Source organism: Homo sapiens, chromosome 1 (genome assembly GCF_000001405.40).
Source record: "Homo sapiens chromosome 1, GRCh38.p14 Primary Assembly".
Lineage (NCBI taxonomy): Eukaryota > Metazoa > Chordata > Mammalia > Primates > Hominidae > Homo > Homo sapiens.
In genome coordinates this window covers 26,918,342-26,937,696 of record NC_000001.11, presented here as the reverse complement: position 1 = coordinate 26,937,696, position 19,355 = coordinate 26,918,342, and the positions used below count along the sequence as shown (strand labels likewise).

The 19,355-nt window shown below is 46.9% G+C and overlaps 1 protein-coding gene across 5 annotated transcripts in view, besides 6 other annotated features; it reads right to left on the bottom strand.

The window, feature by feature from the left end:
* NUDC (nuclear distribution C, dynein complex regulator) overlaps positions 1-19,355 on the bottom strand; it is a 46,711-nt gene that overhangs the window by 9,175 nt on the left and 18,181 nt on the right. For 4 of the 5 annotated variants that reach the window (XM_047439143.1, XM_047439206.1, XM_024452486.2 and 1 more), the window contains one exon: positions 13,531-13,608. In XM_047439143.1, coding sequence (XP_047295099.1) covers positions 13,531-13,608 — 78 coding nt within the window. Of the gene's footprint in view, positions 1-13,530; positions 13,609-15,767; positions 15,955-19,355 lie in introns of those variants that run through there. The other variant, NM_006600.4, reaches the window with a different exon arrangement.
* Positions 4,837-4,886: a silencer, noted in NCBI's record as "silent region_498". NCBI's record gives its function as "represses an Ori minimal core promoter by ATAC-STARR-seq in GM12878 lymphoblastoid cells {active_cell/tissue: GM12878}" and the evidence as "EXISTENCE:reporter gene assay evidence [ECO:0000049][PMID:35858748]".
* Positions 4,977-5,026: a silencer, noted in NCBI's record as "silent region_497". NCBI's record gives its function as "represses an Ori minimal core promoter by ATAC-STARR-seq in GM12878 lymphoblastoid cells {active_cell/tissue: GM12878}" and the evidence as "EXISTENCE:reporter gene assay evidence [ECO:0000049][PMID:35858748]".
* Positions 15,146-15,687: an enhancer, noted in NCBI's record as "H3K27ac hESC enhancer chr1:27248501-27249042 (GRCh37/hg19 assembly coordinates)". NCBI's record gives its function as "activates a minimal SCP1, AML or CMV promoter by ChIP-STARR-seq in primed H9 embryonic stem cells {active_cell/tissue: H9 hESC(primed)}" and the evidence as "EXISTENCE:reporter gene assay evidence [ECO:0000049][PMID:30033119]".
* Positions 15,808-15,927: an enhancer, noted in NCBI's record as "active region_531". NCBI's record gives its function as "activates an Ori minimal core promoter by ATAC-STARR-seq in GM12878 lymphoblastoid cells {active_cell/tissue: GM12878}" and the evidence as "EXISTENCE:reporter gene assay evidence [ECO:0000049][PMID:35858748]".
* Positions 16,058-16,207: a silencer, noted in NCBI's record as "silent region_496". NCBI's record gives its function as "represses an Ori minimal core promoter by ATAC-STARR-seq in GM12878 lymphoblastoid cells {active_cell/tissue: GM12878}" and the evidence as "EXISTENCE:reporter gene assay evidence [ECO:0000049][PMID:35858748]".
* Positions 18,903-19,103: a silencer, noted in NCBI's record as "fragment chr1:27245085-27245285 (GRCh37/hg19 assembly coordinates)". NCBI's record gives its function as "represses an EF-1alpha promoter that drives an FKBP-Casp9 reporter gene in an ReSE screen in K562 erythroleukemia cells {active_cell/tissue: K562}" and the evidence as "EXISTENCE:reporter gene assay evidence [ECO:0000049][PMID:32094911]".

Here is a 19,355-nt window from a genome sequence, read left to right as displayed (position 1 = left end):
TGGGTGACAGAGCAAGACTCTGTCTCAAAAAAACAAACAAATAAATAGAAATAAAAATAAATAAATAAAATGCTAGTGCACTGAGGAACTACATCTGTGCAAATAATTTAAGTTTACCAGGTACAGTGGCTCATACCGGTAATCCCAGCACTTTGGAAAGGCCGAGGCGGGCAGATCGCTTGAGCTCAGGAGGTTAAGACCAGCCTGGGCAACGTGGTGAGACCCCGTCTATACCAAAAATACGAAAATATTAGCCAGACACGGTGGCATATGCCTGCAGTCCCAGCTACTCGGGAGGCTAAGATGGAAGGACTGCTTGAGCCTGGGAGCCGGAGGTTGCTGTGAACTGAAGGTTACAGTGAGCCGAGATTGCGCCGCTGCACTACAACCTGCGTGAGAGTGAGAACCTGTCTCAAAACAAAAACCCCCCTAAACAATGGGGTTTGGAGTTTCTAGGGTGGTGAACACATCAAGGTGTCGGGAGGGTGGCACACCCAGAGAGGGTACGGAGGCTCCAGGCCCCACCCCCATACCTAGCCCTACACAGCTATTTGGCTGTTCCTGAAGTTATGTCTTTTATAATAAACAAGTAACAGTAAATAAAGCACTTTCCTGAGTTTTGAATCATTCTAGCAAATTATTAAACCTGAAAAGGTGGTCATGGCAAACCCCAGTTTACAGCTGGTTGGTCAGAAGTACACGAGGCAATTTGGAACTTATAACTGGTGTGTCAAGTGGGCACTGTCTTATGGGACTGAGTCCTTAACCTGTGGAGTCTGCAGTAATTCTGGGTAGTTACGGTCAGAATTCAATTGAATTGTAGGATACCCAGTTGGTGTCCAGAGAACTGGAGAACTGGTCGTCGAGTGGTGGAAAAACCCCACACATTTGGTGTCAGAACGGCTGTGAGTAAAAACCATTCTTAGGATGCAATACGCAAAATCCAGATTGTGGGAAACTTTGCCAGGACAAACGACCCTTTATTCAAAAAACAAATTGCAAGGAAAAAAGAGGTCTCTTGTGTTTTATTTTTTAAATCTTAAAATTTTTTTTTGTAGGCCAGGTAGGGTGACTCACGCCTGTAATCCCAGCGCTTCGGGAGGCCAAGGTGGGTGGATCACCTGAGGTCAGGATTTAGACCACTGGAGTTCGAGACCAGCCTGGCCAACAAGGTGAAACCCTGCCTCTACTAAAAATACAAAAATTAGGCTGGGCTCGGTGGCTCACACCTGTAAACCAGGCACTCTGGGAGGCCGAGGCAGGCGGATCACCTGAGGTCGGGAGTTCAAGACCAGCCTGACCAACTTGGAGAAACCCTGTCTCTACTAAAAATACAAAAATTAGCTGGGCGTGGTGGCGCATGCCTGTAATCCCAGCTACTTGGGAAGCTGAGGCAGGAGAATTGCTTGAACCCAGGAGACAGATGTTGTGGTGAGCCGAGATCAGGACACCGTACTCCAGCCTGGGCAACAACAGCAAAACTCCATCTCAAAAAAAAAAAAAAAAAAAAAAAAAAAAAAAAAAAAAAAAATATATATATATATATATATATATATATATATTAGCCGGGCGTGGTGGTGGGTGCCTGTAATCCCAGCTACTTGGGAGGCTGAGGCAGAAGAACTGCTTGAACTCAGGAGGCGGAGGCTGCAGTGAGCCAAGATCATGCCACTGCACTCACGCCTCAGCACCAGAGACTCCAAGTCAAAAAAAAACAAAACATTTTTTTTTTGTAGAGATGGAGTCTCATTATATTACCCAGGCTGGTCTTCAACTCCTGGGCTCAAGTGATCCTACCACCTCAGCCTCCCAAAGTGCTGTGATTACAGGCCTGAGCCACTGTGCCTGACCCTTAATTTTTTGTTTTTGTCTTTGTTTGAGGTCTCTTAATTTACAGGTTTCTATCACCCAGTGTAAAGTGTGAACCTTACTTGAATTAGGAATCAAACAATCGTAATCAAATACCCAATAAAAAAGACAAATGTCTTGACTAGATGATATATGATATCATCTAGTTCTGTGTCCCCACCCAAATCTCATCTTGAATTGTAGTTCCCATAATCCCCACATGTCATGGGAAGGACCTGGTGGGGGGTAATTTGAATCATGGGGGTGGCTACCCCCATGCTGCTTTCTTGATAGTGAGTTATCATGAGATCTGATGATTTTACAAGGGGCTTTTCCGCCTTTGCCTGGCACTTCTCCTTCCTGCCACCTTGTAAAGGTGGTACCTGCTTCCCCTTCACCTTCCACCCTGACTGTAAGTTTCCTAAGGCTTCCTCAGCCATGCAGAACTATGAGTCAATTAAACCTCTTTCCTGGCCATAGTACATGAGGGTTCTGTATTAGTCTGTTCTCATGCTGCTATGAAGGAATACCCTAGACTGGGTAATTTATAAAGAAAAGAGGTTTACGGCTGGGCACGGTGGCTCACGCCTGTAATCCCAACACTTTGGGAGGCCAAGGGGGCACGGAACACCTGACGTCAGGAGTTCGAGACCAGGTTGGCCAACACAGTGAAACCCTGTCTCTACTAAAAATACAAAAATTAGCCAGGCGTGGTGGCAGGCACCTGTAATCCCAGCTACTTGGGAGGCTGAGGCAGGAGAATCGCTTGAACCCAGGAGGCAGAGGTTGCAGTGAGCTGAGATCGCCCCACTGCACTCCAGCCTGGGTGACAGAGCGAGACTCTGTCTCAAAAGAAAAAAAAACAAAAAACAAAAACAAAAAAACCTGTCCTGGCCGGGCGCGGTGGTTCACGCCTGTAATCCCAGCACTTTGGGAGGCCAAGGCAAGTGGATCACGAGGCCAGGAGATCGAGACCATCCTGGCTAACACGGTGAAACCCCGTCTTTACTAAAAACACAAAAAATTAGCCGGGCATGGTGGGGGGTGCCTGTAGTCCCAGCTACTGGAGGCTGAGGCAGGAGAATGGCGTGAACCCAGGAGGCGGAGCTTGCAGTGAGCCCAGATTGCACCACTGCACTCCAGCCCGGGCGACAGAGCGAGACTCCATCTCAAAAAAAAAAAAAAACCTCTGTCCTTTATAAATTACCCAGTCTTGGGTATTTCTTCACAGCAGCATGAGAACGAAGTAATACCTTGTCACAGATGAGCTTTGGACTGGGACTTATGGGTTAATGCAGAAATGAATTAAGACTTTGTGGGGCTGTTGGAAGGGCATGATTGTGTTTTGAAATGTGAAGACATGAGATTTGGCGGGGGTACCAGGGGCAGAATGATACCGTTTGGCTCTGTTTCCCCACCCAAATCTCACCTTGAATTGTAATTCCCACATGTCAAAGGCAGTACCAGGTGGAGGTAACTGAATCACCAGGATGGTTTCCCCCATGCTGTTCTCATGATACGAGTGAGTTCTCACAAGATCTGATGGTTTTATTAGCGTCTGGCATTTCTTCTGCTGGCACTCATTCTCTCTCCTGCCAATCTGTGAAGAAATGCCTTCTTCCATGATTTTAAGTTTCCTGAGGCCTCCCCGGTCATGCAGAACTCTGAGTCAATTAAACCTCTTTTTTTTCTTCTTTGAGACGGAGTCTCGCTCTCTCGACAGGCTGGAGTGCCATAGCACAATCTCGACTCACTGCAACCTCTGCCTCCCACGTTTAAGCGATTCTCTTGCCTCAGCCTCCTAAGTGGCTGGGAATACAGGCACACGCCACCACACCCAGCTAATTTTTGTATTTTTAGGAGAGCTGGGGTTTCACCATGTTGGCCAGGATGTTCTTGATCTCCTGACCTCGTGATCTGCCCACCTTGGCCACCCAAAGTGGTGGGATTACAGGCGTGAGCCACCGTGCCCAGCCGTAATCCTCTTTTCTTTATGAATTACCCAGTCTGGGGTATTCCTTCATAGCAGCATGAGAACAGACTAATACAGAATCCTCATGTACTATTAGTGGTAGTGTCAAATGGTGCATCTGCTATGGAAAAGATCATGGCATTTCCTAAAAAAACTAAAAACTGGCTGGATGCAGTGGCTCAAACCTGTAATCCCAGCACTTTGGGAGGCCGAGGCGGGTGGATCACCTGAGGTCAGGAGTTTGAGACCAACCTGGCCAACATGGTGAAACCCCGTCTCTAATAGAAATACAAAAATTAGCCAGGTGTGGTGGCAGGTGCCTGTAATCCCAGCTACTCAGGAAGCTGAGGCAGGAGAATCGCTTGAACCCAGGAGGCAGAGGTTGCAGTGAGCCGAGATTGCATCATTGCACTCCAGCCTGGGCAACAAGAGTAATACTGTCTTAAAACAAAAACAAAAACAAAAACAAAAACTACCATATGATCCAATAGATTACACTGCCGAGTAACACCTGCAAGAATTGAAAATAGAATCTCAAAAGATTTGTGCACCTATGTTCACAAAAGTACTATGCACAATAACCAAGGGGTGAAAGCAACCCAAAAGTCCATCAGCAGAAGAATAGATTTAAAAAAAAAAATTGTGGCCGGGCGCGGTGGTCAAGCCTGTAATCCCAGCTCTTTGGGAGGCCGAGCCAGGCAGATCACGAAGTCAGGAGTTCAAGACCAGCCTGACCAATATGGTAAAACCCCGACTCTAATAAAAATACAAAAATTAGCCGGGCGTGGTGGCGTGTGCCTGTAGTCCCAGGTACTCGGGAGGCTGAGGTTGCAGTGAGCCAAGATCGTGCCACTGCACTCCAGCGTGGGCAAGAAACAGAGCAAGACTTGTCTCAAAAAGAAAAAAAAAAATTGTGATATATACATATAATGGAATATTATTCAGCCTTAAAGGGGATGGAAATCCTGTCACATGCTACAATGTGGATAAATCTGTGGACATTACATTAAACGAAATAAGCCAGTCACAAAGACATACATATTGTATGATTCCATTTATATGAAGTATCTACAGTAGTCAACCTACACAGAAAACAGAACAGCAGTTACCAGGAGGTAGGGGAGGGAACAAAGCGAAGTTGCTTAATGGGTACAGGGTTTCAGTTCCCTAAGATGCAAAGAGGTCTTACAAATATGTTTCTTAGTGTAAGTTCACTTAACACTACTGAACTGTACACTTAAAAATGGTTAACATGGGCCAGCACAGTGGCTCACATCTGTTATCCTAGAACTTTGGGAGGCCGAGTCAGGCAGATCACTTGAGCCCTGGAGTTAGAGACCAGCCTGGGAAACATGGTAAAACCTCATCTCTACAAAAAAAACAGAAAAATTAGCTGGGGGCCGGGCGCAGTGGCTCACACCTGTAATCCCAGCACTTTGGGAAGTCGAGGCAGGAGGATCATGCGGTCAGGAGTTCAAGACAGGTTTGACTGACATGGTGAAACTTCATCTCTACATTGTAAAAATACAATAATTAGCCCGGCATGGTTGTGCGCACCTGTAATCCCAGCTACTCAGGAGGCTGAGGCAGGAGAATCGCTTGAACCCGGAAGGCAGAGGTTGCAGTGAGCCAAGGTCACACCACTATACTCTAGCCTGGGCAACAGAGCGATACTCTGTCTCAAAAAAAAAAAAGAAAAAGAAAAATTAGCTGGGCATGATGGCACTGGAGTCCAAGCTACTTAAGGGGTTAAAGTGGGAGGATCACCTGAGCCTTGGGGAGGTCAAGGTAAGTAGTGATCATGCCACTGCACTCCAGTGGGTGACAGAGTGAGACTCTGTCTCAGAAATATAAATAAATAAATTAAATAAAAATTAAAAAAAAAAAAAGGGGCCAAGCGTGGTGGCTCACACCTATAATCCCAACATTTTAGGAGGCCAAGATGGGCGGATCACAAGGTCAAGAGTTTGAGACCAGCCTGGCCAATGTTACTGAAACCCTGTCTCTACTAAAAATACAAAAATTAGCCAGGCGTGGTGGTGGGCACCTGTAGTCCCAGCTACTTGGGAGGCTGAGGCAGGAGAAATCTCTTTTTTTTTTTGAGATGGAGTCTCGTTCTGTCGCCAGGCTGGAGTGCAGTGGCGATCTTGGCTCACTGCAACCTCTGACTCCTGGGTTCAAGCGATTCTCCTCCCTCAGCCTCCCGAGTAGCTGGGATTATAGGAGAGTGCCACCATGCCCGGCTAATTTTTGTATTTTTAGTAGAGACAGGGTTTCACCGCGTTGGCCAGGATAGTCTCGATCTCCTGACCTCATGATCCGCCCACCTCGGCCTCCCAAAGTGCTGGGATTATAGGTGTGAGCCACCGTGCCCAACCGGTACGAGAAATCTCTTGAACCCAGGAGGCACAGGTTGCAGTGAGCCGAAATGGTGCCACTGCACTCCAACCTGGGCGAAAAAGCGAGACTCTACCTCAAAAAAAAAAAAAAAAAAAAAAAGGCCAGGCGCAGTGGTTCATGCCTGTAATCCCAGCACTTTGGGAGGCTGAGGCAGGCAGATCACCTGAGGTCAGGAGTTCGAGATCAGCCTGGCCAACATGGTAAAACCCCATCTCTACTAAAAATACAAAAATTAGCCAGGCGTGGTGGCACACGCCTGTAATCCCAGCTACTCGGGAGGCTGAGGTGGGAGAACTGCTGGAACCTGGGAGGCAGAGGTTGCAGTGAGCCAAGATGGCGCCACTGCACTCCAGGCTGGGCAACAGAGCGAGACTCCGTCTCAAACAAACAAACAAACAAAAAACAAAACAAAGGTTAAGAAGGTAAATTTTATGATGTGCTTTTTACCACACTTTTTTTCTGAGACAGAGTCTCGCTCTGTGGCCCAGGCTGGAGTGTAATGGCATGATCTCGGCTCACTGCAAACTCTGTCTCCCAGGTTCAAGCAATTCTCCCACCTCAGCTTCTCGAGTAGCTGGGATTACAGGCCCCTGCCACCATGCCCAGCTAATTTTTGTATTTTTAGTAGAGACGAGGTTTCACCATTTGGCCAGGCTGGTCTCAAACTCCTGACCTCAGGTGATCTGCCCACCTCGGCCTTCCAAAGTGCTGGGATTACAGGTGTGAGCCACCGTGCCCAGCCCACTATTTTTTTTTTTTTTTTTTTGAGACAGGGTTTAGCTCTGTTGCCCAGGATGGATTACAGTGCCGTTTATCATGGGTCACTGCAGCCTCAAACTCCTGGGCTCCAGAGATCCTCCCACCTTGGTCTGCAGAGTAGCTGGGACTACAGGCTTGTGCCACCACTCTTGGCTATGATTTTCTATTTTTTGTACAGATATGCTCTATGTTGGACCAGACTGGTCTTGAACACCTGGCCTCAAGTGATCCCCCCATCTCAGCCCATATTTTTTTAAAAAACAAAAGAGCTGGGTACAATGGCGGCCGCAAAGGCGGGTAGGTCGCTTGAGATCAGAATCAGAAATTCAAGACCTGCTTGGGCAAGATGGTGAAACCCCCACTCTACAAAAAATACAAAAATTAGCTGGGTGTGGTGGGGCACGCCTATACTCCCAGTTACTCAGGAGGCTGAGGTGAGAGGACCGCCTGAGCCTAGTGGTCATGGCTGCAGTGAATCATGATCGCACTACTGGACACCATCCAGGCTGGGCAGCAGAGCGAGACCCTGTCTCAAAACAAAACAAAACACAATAGTAAGAGAGCATTGAGGGAAATCAGAACCCTGACTGGATGTGGATCTCTGGTAATATTTAAAGAATTGGTATGCTTTTCTGGAGAAGGTATACCATTACAGTTACATTTGTTGTGGCTGTTGTTGTTGTTTTTGTTTTTGAGACGGAGTTTCACTCTTGTTGCCCAGGGTAGAGTGCAGTGGTGCGATCTCGACTCACTGAAACCTCCGCCTCCTGGGTTCAAGTGATTCTCCTGCCTCAGCCTCCCGAGTAGCTGGGATTACAGGCGCCTACCACCATGCCCAGCTAATTTTTGTATTTTTAGTAGGGACAGGGTTTCACCATATTGGCCAGGCTGGCCTCTAACTCCTGACCTCAGGTGATCCACCCACCTCAGCTTCCCAAAGTGCTGGGATTACAGGTATGAGCCACTGTGCCCGGCCCTACAGTTATGTTTTTAAACAGTAACTTTTCTTTTAGATAGTCACATAATATTTACTCATCAAAAAATATGCCTTCAATTATATGTAAGTGGAATGCAATAGGGTAGTCCCACCGTACCCACGAAGATTTGTTCCAGGACCACTCCCCAACACTAATTTCCGAGGATGCTCAAGTCCCTTATATAAAATGGCATTTTATTTGCATATAACCTACATGCATCCTCCTGCATACTCTCAATCATCCCTAGATTACCTAATACCTAATACAATGTAACTGCTACGGATGTAAGTAATTAGATTATATTTTTTTAATTTGTTTTTTTTTTTTGTTTTTTCAGAAGGGGTCTTGCTATGTTGCCCAGGCTGATCTCAAATTCCTGGGCTCAAGCCATCCTCCCATCTCAGCCACCCAAGTAGCTGGGATTACAGGTGTGCGTCACCACGTCGGGCTTAATTCATATTTTTTTATTATTGTACTGTCATTTAAAAAAAATTTTTTTTCCAAATATTTTCCATCAGTGGTTGGTTAAGCTCATGGATGCAGAGCCCACGGATACAAAGGATCAACTGTATTTGTCCTTTTGTGACCAGCTTATTTCATATAACATGATGTCCTCCAAGGTACATCCATGTAGCAATGGACAGGATTTCTTTCCCTTTTAAGGCAGAATAACATCCCAGAGTATGTCTATACCACATTGTTTATCCATTCACCTGCTGATGGAGCCTTTGGTTCCTTCCACCTTTTGGCTGTTATGAATAAGGCTGCTGTGAACATGGGTGTGCAAGTAAATCCTCCTCCTGATTATTTTGGGTATATACCCACAAGCATGACTGCTAGAACATACGATAGTTGTATTCTTTAACTTTCTGAGAAACCGCCATAACGTTTTCCATAGCAGATGCACCATTTGACATTCCCACCACAGTGTACAAGGGTTCCAGTTTCTCCCTATCTTTGTCAACACTTGTTATTTTGTTTTATCTTTTAACGGATGCCATCCTAACAGATGTGAAATAGTATCTCATTGTGGGTTTTGTTTTGGAAACAAAGTCCTGCTCTGTCACCAAGACTGCAGCGTAGTGACACAATCACGGCTCACTGAAGCCTCAACCTCCCAGGCTCAAGCAATCCTCCTACCTCAGCCTCCTGAGTGGTTGGGACTAAAGGCATGTGCCACAAGGCCTGGCTAATTTTTATTTATGAGTTCCTAAATATGAAATTCACAATTAAATGTTATTTTTCCTCTGCACTGCATATTTTCTCATAATCTGGTGTTCTTCAATTGACTTAAATGTCTTTTACCATTTACAAAGTTTCAGCATCTGAAAAGGCAAACAGCTATCTCTTCTTTTATAGCTTCCAGTTTTCTAATGCTGAAAAGTCTCCCCCACATAAGACTATAGTTTCCTAGTTTTCCTTACAGGATTTTTATTATTGGTATTTTTATAGAGTATGACAGATGGCAAATTTTGTTTTTTTAACCAAAAAAAATTCATGTAGCAGCATGACTTATTAAATCATGCTTTGCCTACTGAACTGAATTACCACAATAGACACATTAAATCCTCATAAATGCCAGACTTTATTTCAGGATTCTCTATTCTGCTTCACTGGTCCATTTTTCTCTTCTTCTATCAATACCATATTGATTAGATCACTATGGCTGTATTCAAGTCTACAATTCCTAGCCCCAAAAGCTATAAAAACTAAAAGTGCTTTTGTATTTTTTTGTAAGTTCGTGGCATGAGGTATTTACAGTCTTCATTTCTTCTACTTGGTATGTATATTGATATATATATTTCTGCAGAAATATTAATGTGTTTTGTTGCAGGATGCAGCTCCTGGCCTGCGATTAGATTATTGTATGTAATGCACATTATATGCACTGTATTGCCTTTCTGAAATCCAAATAATTTTAAATACCAAAACACATGTGGCCCCAAGGGATTCTGAAGTGGATTGTGGTCTTTGCCTTTTTTTAAATCCTCGTAACATCCTTGTAAGGTAAGGACTGCTCCCTCTTACAGTTAAGAAAAATTAGGGGCTGGGCGCAGTGGCTCATGACTGTAATCCCAGCACTTTGAGGGGCCGAAGCGGGCAGATCACGAGCTCAGGAGTTCGAGACCAACCTGACCAACATGGTGAAACCCCGGCTCTACTAAAAATACGAAAATTAGCCAGGCATAGGGGCGGGCGCCTGTAATCCCAGCTACTCAGGAGGCTGAGGCAGAAGAATCGCTTGAACCTGGGAGGCGGGGATTGCAGTGAGCTGAGATCGCTCCACTGCTCTCCTGCCTAGGTCATAGAGCAAGACTCCGTCTCAAAAAAAAAAAAAAAAGAAAAAGAAAAATTAGGTAGTCCCAGCACTTTGGGAGGCTAAGGCGGCTGGATCACGCCACTGTGCTCCAGCTGGGACAACAGAGCAAGACCCTGACACACACACACACACACACACACACACACACACACACACGGTTCATCTCTCTCCCTTCTTACAGCCACTGTGCTCCAGCTGGGACAACAGAGCAAGACCCTGACACACACACACACGGTTCATCTCTCTCCCTTCTTACAGCTATTCATCCTTCATATCTGAAGCGTCACTTCCTCACAAAGTCTTCTCTGAGCCCCCAACCTAGGTTAGTTTTATGTTCCCAGGGATTCTGCCCCAACACCCACTACTTTTTCACTGCTTGTTTTTTTTATTTTGGCTACACTGTGAGATCCATGAAAACAAAGAACAAATCTGTATTCACCTCTGCAATCCCAAAAGGTTTGATATAGCACCTAACATAATCCAAAGTGTTAAGTGTTCAATAAACATTCATTGAAAAAAGTAGGCCGGGTGCAGTGGCTCACGCCTGTAATCCCAGCACTTTGGGAGGCTGAGGCTGGGGGATCACCTGAGGTCAGGAGTTTGAGAACAGCCTAACCAACATGGTGAAACCTGTCTCTACTAAAAATACAAAATTAGCCAGGCATGGTGGTGCATGCCTGTAATCCCACCTACTTAGGAGGCTGAGGCAGGAGAATCACTTACAACCTGGGAGGCAGAAGTTGCAGTGGGCTGAGATCGTGCCATTGCACTCCAGACTGGGCAACAAGCATGAAACTCCGTGTCAAAAAAAAAAAGAAAGAAAAAATAAATGACTAGTCCCAAAAGCTATAAAAACTAAAAGTGCTTTTGTATTTTTTTGTAAGTTTGCGGCATGAGGTTTTACAGGTAGTCTGACCCACAGAAAGGCCAGAGGTGTTAGTGACAATACAGAAAAAATATCTGAGCTAGAAGGGGTCTACTTTCTCCCATTTTACAGATGTAAAGATGGAAAGAACCAGAGCATTGCTGGGAACTCGACTAGGTGACAAAGCTAGACCAAGAACCTGGGACTCCTACTCTTAGGTAATGTGTCTATGACAGAGTGGCCTCAGACATTCAGGACACATTAAAGAGTTTACCAACTTGTTAGAATCCTGAAGCCACAGAAAACGGTTTGCAAAGAACGTCTACGTCTCCTTCTTATTATGTCTCTTGTTTATGTCTATTATAAAGATAATGGCGCCGGGCGTGGTGGCTCACGCCTGTAATCTCAGCTACTCAGGAGGCTGAGCACAATAATTGCTTGAACCCAAGAGGCAGACATTGCAGTGAGCCAAGATCGCACCATTGCACTCCAGCCTGGATAAAAAGAGCGGGACTCCGTCTCAAAAAAAAAAAAGGCTGGGCATGGTGGCTCACACCTGTAATCCCAGCACTTCGGGAGGCCAAGGCAGGCAGATCACCTGAGGTTGGGAGTTCAAGACCAGCCTGGCCAACATGGTGAAACCCCATCTCTACTAAAAATACAAATATTATCCAGGCGTGGTGGTGCATGCCTGTAATCCCAGCTACTCAGGAGGCTGAGGCAGGAGAATTGCTTGAACTCGCAAGGCGGAGGTTGTGGTGAGCTGAGATCGTGCCATTGCACTGCAGCCTGGGCAACAGAGTGAAACTCTGTCTCAAAAAAAAAAAAAAAAAAAAATTCCTCATGATATAACAATTTTCAAAAGTATAATTACAACTTTAAGGAATCAGAAAGAAGTTCAAGGTCTCAGAATCAATACTACAAAACAGAAATCCTTAAACTCTGAGTCACAGCATCTGGGAAGACATGCCTCTGAGTATTTCTAAATTTATTTCTTTTTTTTTTTTTTTTTTTTTTGAGACGGAGTCTCACTGTTGCCCAGGCTGGAGTGCAATGGCGCGATCTCGGCTCACTGCAAGCTCCGCCCCCCGGGGTTCACGCCATTCTCCTGCCTCAGCCTCCAGAGTAGCCGGGACTACAGGCGCCCGCCACCTCGCCTGGCTAATTTTTTGTGTTTTTAGTAGAGACGGGGTTTCACCGTGTTAGCCAGCATGGTCTCGATCTCCTGACCTCGTGATCCGCCAGCCTCGGCCTCCCAAAGTGCTGGGATTACAGGCGTGAGCCACCGCGCCCGGCCTTCTAAATTTATTTCTAAGCATCAGTTTCTAATATTTGCCCAGTCTCATCTCCTAGGTTATTAGTTAAAACCTCCTCAGGCCGGGTGCAGTGGCTCACACCTGTACTCCCAGCGCTTTAGGAGGCCGAGGTGGGTGGATCACTTGAGGTCAGGGGTTCGAGACCAGCCTGGCCAACATGGTGAAACCTCATCTCTACTAAAAATACAAAAATTAGCCAGGCATGGTGGCGCCTGCCTGTAATCCCAGCTACTTGGGAGGCTGAGGCACAAGAATCACTTAAACCCAGGAGGCGGAGGTTGCAGTGAGCCTAGATTATGCCACTGCACTCCAGCCTGCGCAACAGAATGAGACTCCATTTCAAAAAATAAAATAAAATAAAATAAATAAAAGTAAAAATAAAACCTCCTGGCCAGGCACAGTGGCTTATACCTGTAATCCCAGCACTTTGGGAGGCCGAGGCGGGTGGATCATGAGGTCAGGAGTTCGAGACCAGCCTGGCCAATATGATGAAACCTCGTCTCTATCAAAATACAAAAATTAGCCAGGTGTGGTGGCGGGCGCCTGTAATCCCACTTACTCAGGAGGCTGAGGCAGGAGAATTGCTTGAACCCAGGAGGCGAAAGTTGCAGTGAGCCGACATTGCGCCACTGCGCTTCAGCTTGGGTGACAAAGCAAGACTCTGTCTCAGAAAATAAATAAATAAATAAAACCTCCTCATTGGAAAAGGAACTGAGAGGCACTGTGTCGGGGCAGAGGACAGGTTTACAACAGACTGGTTTCAACCCTGGTTCTCCCACAGCTCAGCTCAAGACTTTGGATAAGGTGCAAAATTCTCTTGAGCCAATTTCCTCAATGGGGATAGTTAACACCTGCCCCTCTTGTAGAACTGCAAAAGTCATGGGAAATAAGGTAGATAGAGGGCTGAGCAAGGAGTGGAGCTTGAAGAAATGACAGCTTCCTTCCCTTCCCCAATTCCTCACCTTTGGCATTTCGCTTCTGCTGAAAGTTACTATTATGCCAAAGAAAGGCCAGGTGAGCTTTTCTTCTGAAGAGACAGAGCCGCCCAAAGGACAGTGGTTTCCAACACTTACCTTCTCTGCCATCCCTTCTTCTCCTCCAATGAAAAAGTCTGTTTTGCGTCGAAGGAAGCTGAAGAAGGTGTTCACAAGCTGAAAGAGGGGGAGAAGATTAAAGTAGTAGAGCTGCATTTGGGAGCCCTTCAACTGCACACAAGTCAACTTGTTTTGTCTAGGAGGGAACTTGGGACTTGACTATTTTTCCTCTGAGCTTCCCAACTGAGGAGATTATCTCCCCAGCAGGTTCTCTTAGTCACTTCCACCATGAAGCAGATTTCTCATATCCTGTGTGTGTGTGCGCCTTTCACTTTCCTTGTGATGCTAGAAGCAGCCTAAGCGTATGGAACACTCCTCTGCATCCAGGGCATGAAAAGCCTGGGCCCAGCTTTCCTCTCCAGAAAGTAAAAAGCCCATCAAGACACTGGCTCACACCTATAATCCCAGTACTTCAGGAGGCTCAGGTGGGCGGGTCACTTGAGGTCAGGAGTTCAAGACCAGCCTGGCCAACATGGTGAAACCCCGTCTCTACTAAAAACACAAAAATTAGCTAGATTACAGGTGGTGGGCACCTGTAATCCCAGCTACTTGGGAGGCTGAGGCAGAGAATCACTTGAACCCGGGAAGCAGAGGTTGCAGTGAGCCAAGATCGTGCCACCGCACTCCAGCCTGGGTGAGAGACTCTTGTCTAAACAAAAAAAAAGACACTGGCTAAGTTACCGGGTCAAAGCAAGAAGGAGGAGAGCAAATGAAGCCACTTCAAAGGAGGATAAGATGGATTAATTCTGGCTGGAGTACAAGTGTAGCCAACGGTTTGAGTATCAGATGGACATATATTACCTTTTGACTTTGCAGAAGTTTCTTAACTCTGTACAACAGGAATAAGATGCAGTACCTATTTCTAGGGACCTGGTGAGGATCATGAGGTCAAGGAGGTGAGGCCTTTAGCAATGTATGGCACAGAGCAAGAGACCCACTGGCAGAGGGTAAACACCTTACAAATAGGAACCATGAACCATGGCTTAGTCTGTCTGCCACCTGCAATGCTGGGCACCAGATATGGCTAAAGGTACATAATCAGTAAAATTCTTGCTGAATGAAACAATCTAGTGGTGACTCAAGGTCAGCACACACAAACCCTTTATTTGCCCAAGAGTGGGTCTAAATCTGATTAAATCTGATGCTAGAACATATCTCAATGGTTTCCGTTCTTGCTTCTAGACAGTTTTTCAATTTGCTCAAAAATGAACTCGCTCCCAAATCCAGTTTTGTGCGAACAGTTTAGAGGAATGGAGACAGGAAGGCTTTTCACACTTGCAAATGAGAAACACTCTCCCCACCACAAAGGGCTTAGAAGTCCTTGGTCACCAGACACCTAGGTTACATAGGAATAGAAAGTTCAATGGAAACCTACCTCCAGTAAGACACAATCAGCCATGGACTCTGGGAAGCACACTGACCTGTCTAGGTGAGAACCATGTTGCATGATCTAGGCAAATCCTTGCCACTTCTCTGGCTCTGAGAATGAGAGTTCTGATCCTGACAGACTTTTCTACCGTTAACTTTGTGTTTGTTCCAAAAAAACCAACTCCAGAATCTGTAACAGTTGGCCCTTATTGTCGAGTGTGGGACACACATCAATCACACGACAAATACTTGTTGAATGAAAAAGCCTTATTACTGAGAACTTACGGTTCTTAACTACTCTCTGGAAACCGGTATTCGCAGCTGTCTCACAGATAAGGAAACTCAGGCTTGGAGAGATGTAAAGGTTCCAAGTTGGTAGGTGGTGGAAACTAATCGTGAACACAGGCCTCCTATTCCCCCATTCAAGGCCTAACAAGACCACGTGCTAACATCAGCCCGCTCCCCTACCACACACATTCGACGGCTCGCCCCAAGCCTTGGTGGATCCAAATCACGATATTTGCGACGGTTCTTACTAAGGGATGCTCCTTGGAAGCCGCCATCAAAGTGGAAACGGGGGTGGGGGCATATGTGAAACTAAAGGGGGATCCTAAGCTCAGGGATGCGATAATTTGCTACTACTGAGGGGCGCCGGGGGCCCGGGACTGATGCGAACCGGGTGAGACCTGCTGGCGGGTGGCCAGGCCGGAAGCTGGGCGCAGTGAGAATGTAGGGGCATCCCAGAAGCCCGCGAGCCGCTGGGGTGGGTCTCAGCCCTCGAAGGCAGAGAAGGGCGGAAGGAGCGTGGCCAAGGCCGCCGGGTGGGCCGACGCCGCGCGGGCCGTTACCTCCTGCACGCCGCCCTCGTGCTGCTGAGCCATGGCCAGCAACATGCCGTCGAACCGCTCCTCCTCCTGCTCTCCGCCCATCGCGCCGGCTCCGATCCACGTCCCGGAGCTCTGCACTCTAGTCCCGCGCTCTCTACGCTCCTGCGGGTCGCGCCGGGCCCAACGACTCTAGTCGTCCGCCTTCCGCAGCGGAGCCGGAAACACGCACGCGCGCGGCTGCCCAGGCCCGCCTCCACCTCCTCTCTTCCCGCCTTCCTCCCGGTTTGCGGCCATTGACCGTGCGGCAAGCAACCCGCTTCGCCGACCATTGGTCGACATTCGGAGCCAATCAACAAGCGCGTCCACGAAGCGGTAGGCGGAGCCGTGGGCCCGAGAGTTTGGCATGAGTTGCTATGGTCACCCGATGCCGTGGAGACTTCTAGAAAGCCCTGGACTCAAATCTGGCAGGGTTGGAAGTTAAAAAGGGACAAGTTTTGCCCCTCTCCCTTGCTAGCGACCCCCCCAGCTTGTAGAGCAGTGAAGCTGAAAGTAGCCTTACTCATCTCTTCCAATCCTAGAAGGGACTTACCACAGGACAGCCTCCTCCTCATCGACCTCACTGCGTACTTGACTAGGGCCAGCTTCATGGGAGTACAAATTGCAGTCGCACAGCACCCAGGCTTAGAAAGGCTCCACGCTTGATTTCATGGCCTTCTGTTATAGTCTTGAAATTCTTAATAATTTTGGAATAAGGAGACCCACATTTTCATTTTGCACTGGGCCCAGGAAATTATGACAGGTGCTGAAATTGACCTTCACTTCTGTTAATGCGGGGACAGGACCCAGCCATCCAAGCTAATCCCTCCACTTGTGCAATGAATCTCATCATCTTAGTCTTTTCAGGAACTCTATCCCTGTTAATTATCCCTTTTTTTAGCTTATGCATCACAAATATCTTTCTTCTTCCCTTCAATTTACAAACACGCTTTAATATCTTTTTGTTTGTTTTTAGAGATGGGGTTCTTGCATTGTCACCCAAGCTGGAGTGCAGTGGCACCATCTTGGCTTACGGCAGCCTTGAACTCCTGGACTCAAGCCATCTTCCCCACTTCAGCCTCCAGAGTAGCTGGGACTACAGGCTCACATCACCACGCCCTGCTGTTTTTTTTTTTTTGTTTTTTGTTTTTTGTTTTTTGGTAGAGATGGAGTCTGTGTTGCCCAGGCTAAGTCTCAAACCCTGGTCTCAAGCACTCCTCCTGCCTCAGCCTCTCAAAGTGCTGGGATTACAGGTGTGAGCCACCATGCCCAGCCCTGTTTTTATATTATTATTCCATGGCCCCACTTTCTTCTGCTGCTACCTCTCCAATTTTCAGCTCTCATTTGCAGCAAACTTGTTTGCTTGTTTTTCTACTCCCTCACCTCCCATCTCTCTACAGTATATTCTAGTCTATCTATTCTTCTTTTTTTTTTTAGACCAAGTCTCACTCTGTTGCCCAGGCTGGAGTGCAGTGACACGATCTCAGCTCACTGCAACCTCTGCCTCCCAGGTTTAAGTGATTCTCAGCCTCCCAAGTAGCTGGGATTACAGGCACCACTACGCCTAACTAATTTTTTTTTGTATTTTTAGTAGAGGGGTTTTCACCATGTTGGCCAGGCTCGTTTCAAACTCCTGACCTCAAGTGATCCACCTGCCTCGGCCTCGCAACGCGCTAGGATTACAGGCATGAGCCACTGCGCCCGGCCTGTTCTAGTCTATTTTTTAAAGGCTCTGATATGGTTACAGTGCTACATATTGCCAAAGCCAATGAACCACTATTATCTTACTCAACTTCTCAGGTGCATTTGACACAGTTGACGCCTTCTTCTTTCCTTTTTTCCTTTAGGTTTCTCTTTTGGTTGGAATTGCGTGTTCCCCACTTCAGACTAGAGACTTCTCCCTTTAGATTAGAGATTCCTGGAGTTGATCTGTGTCTTCTCCCTCAGACTGAGGGCTCTTGAGGGCAGGGCCTTGCACTTGCACGGGCCCATCCTAGGCACTGGGAGCAACCCCAGCAATGTCTTCATAGCGTCAAATACATATTTTTTTTTCTTTTAACATGCAAAAGCAAAATTCTAAAATTGCAATTGGTTAAGACTACTATTTCTTCCCACTCTATCTCACTTTCCCTTGAATCAGGTGATATCAGAGATGCCATGAGGATTTGGTGATCCAGCTAAGGTGAAGTTGAGTTGGAAATACACTCAGTTTGGATTGATTTGGTGGGATATAGCTGGGTGGCTGGCAGTCACTTTTGTGTATAGTTAAGTCATTGTGAGCTGTCCTGGTGTGTGGAAAGGGCTTCCAGGAATATTCCTACCATTTGCTGTACCTCATGACCCTTGCTGTACAGGATCAGAAGTCTTATCCCAATATAAATGATTCCCAGGACAACTGGAAGTATGTGAGCAGTGAAAGAAACAAGTTTATGTGTGGAACAAGAAGCAGATCCAGGCCGACTGCGGAGGCTCATGCCTGTAATCCCAACACTTGCAAAACATAGCAACACAGCAAAACCCTGTCTCTACAAAACAATTTAAAAATTAGCGGAGTTAAATAACGAGTTGATGGGTGCAGCACACCAACATGGCACATGTATACATATGTAACAAACCTGCACGTTGTGCACATGTACCCTAGAACTCAAAGTATAAAAAAAAAAATTAGCGGGGCATGGCAGTGGGAGCCTGTAATCCCAGCTACTCAGAAGGCTGAGATGGGAGAATCACTTGAGCCTGGGAGGTCAAGGCTGCAGTGAGCTGTGATCACGCCACTGCACTTCAGCGTGGGTGACAAAGCCAGACCCTGTCTCAAACAAAGGAAAAAAAAAAAAAGTAGCTGGATGTGGTATTTCATGCCTGTAATCCCAGCACTTTAGGAGGCCGAGGCAAGTGGATCACTTGAGGCCCAGAGTTCAAGAGCAGCCCGGCCAACATGGTGAAACACCATCTCTACTAAAAATACAAAGATTAGTTGGGTGTGGTGGTGTGCGCCTGTAATCCCAGCTACACGGGAGGCTGAGGTAGAAGAATCACTTAGGCTGGGTGCAGTGGCTCACGCCTGTAATCTTATCACTTTGGGAGGCTGAGGCAGGTGGATCACCTGAGGTCGGGAGTTCGAGACCAGCCTGCCTAACATGGTGAAACCCCATCTCTACTAAAAATACAAAAACTTAGCCAGGCATAGTGGTGGGAACCTGTAATCCCAGCTACTTGGGAGGCCGAGGCAGGAGAATCTCTTGAATCTGGGAGGTGGAAGTTGTAGCGAGCCGAGATTGTGCCATTGCACGCCAGCCTGGGCAAGAAGAGCAAAACTCCATCTCAAAAAAAAAAAAAAAAAAAGCTGGGTGCGGTGGCTCATGCCTGTAATCTCAGCACTTTGGGAGGCCAAGGCGGGCAGATCATGAGGTCAGGAGTTCGAGACCAGCCTGGCCAAAATGGTAAAACCCCATCTCTACTAAAAAATACGAAAAATCAGCTGGGCTTGGTGGCAGGCGCCTGTAGTCCCAGCTACTCAGGAGGCTGAGGCAGGAGAATTGTTTGAACCTGGGAGGCGGAGGTTGCAGTGAGCCG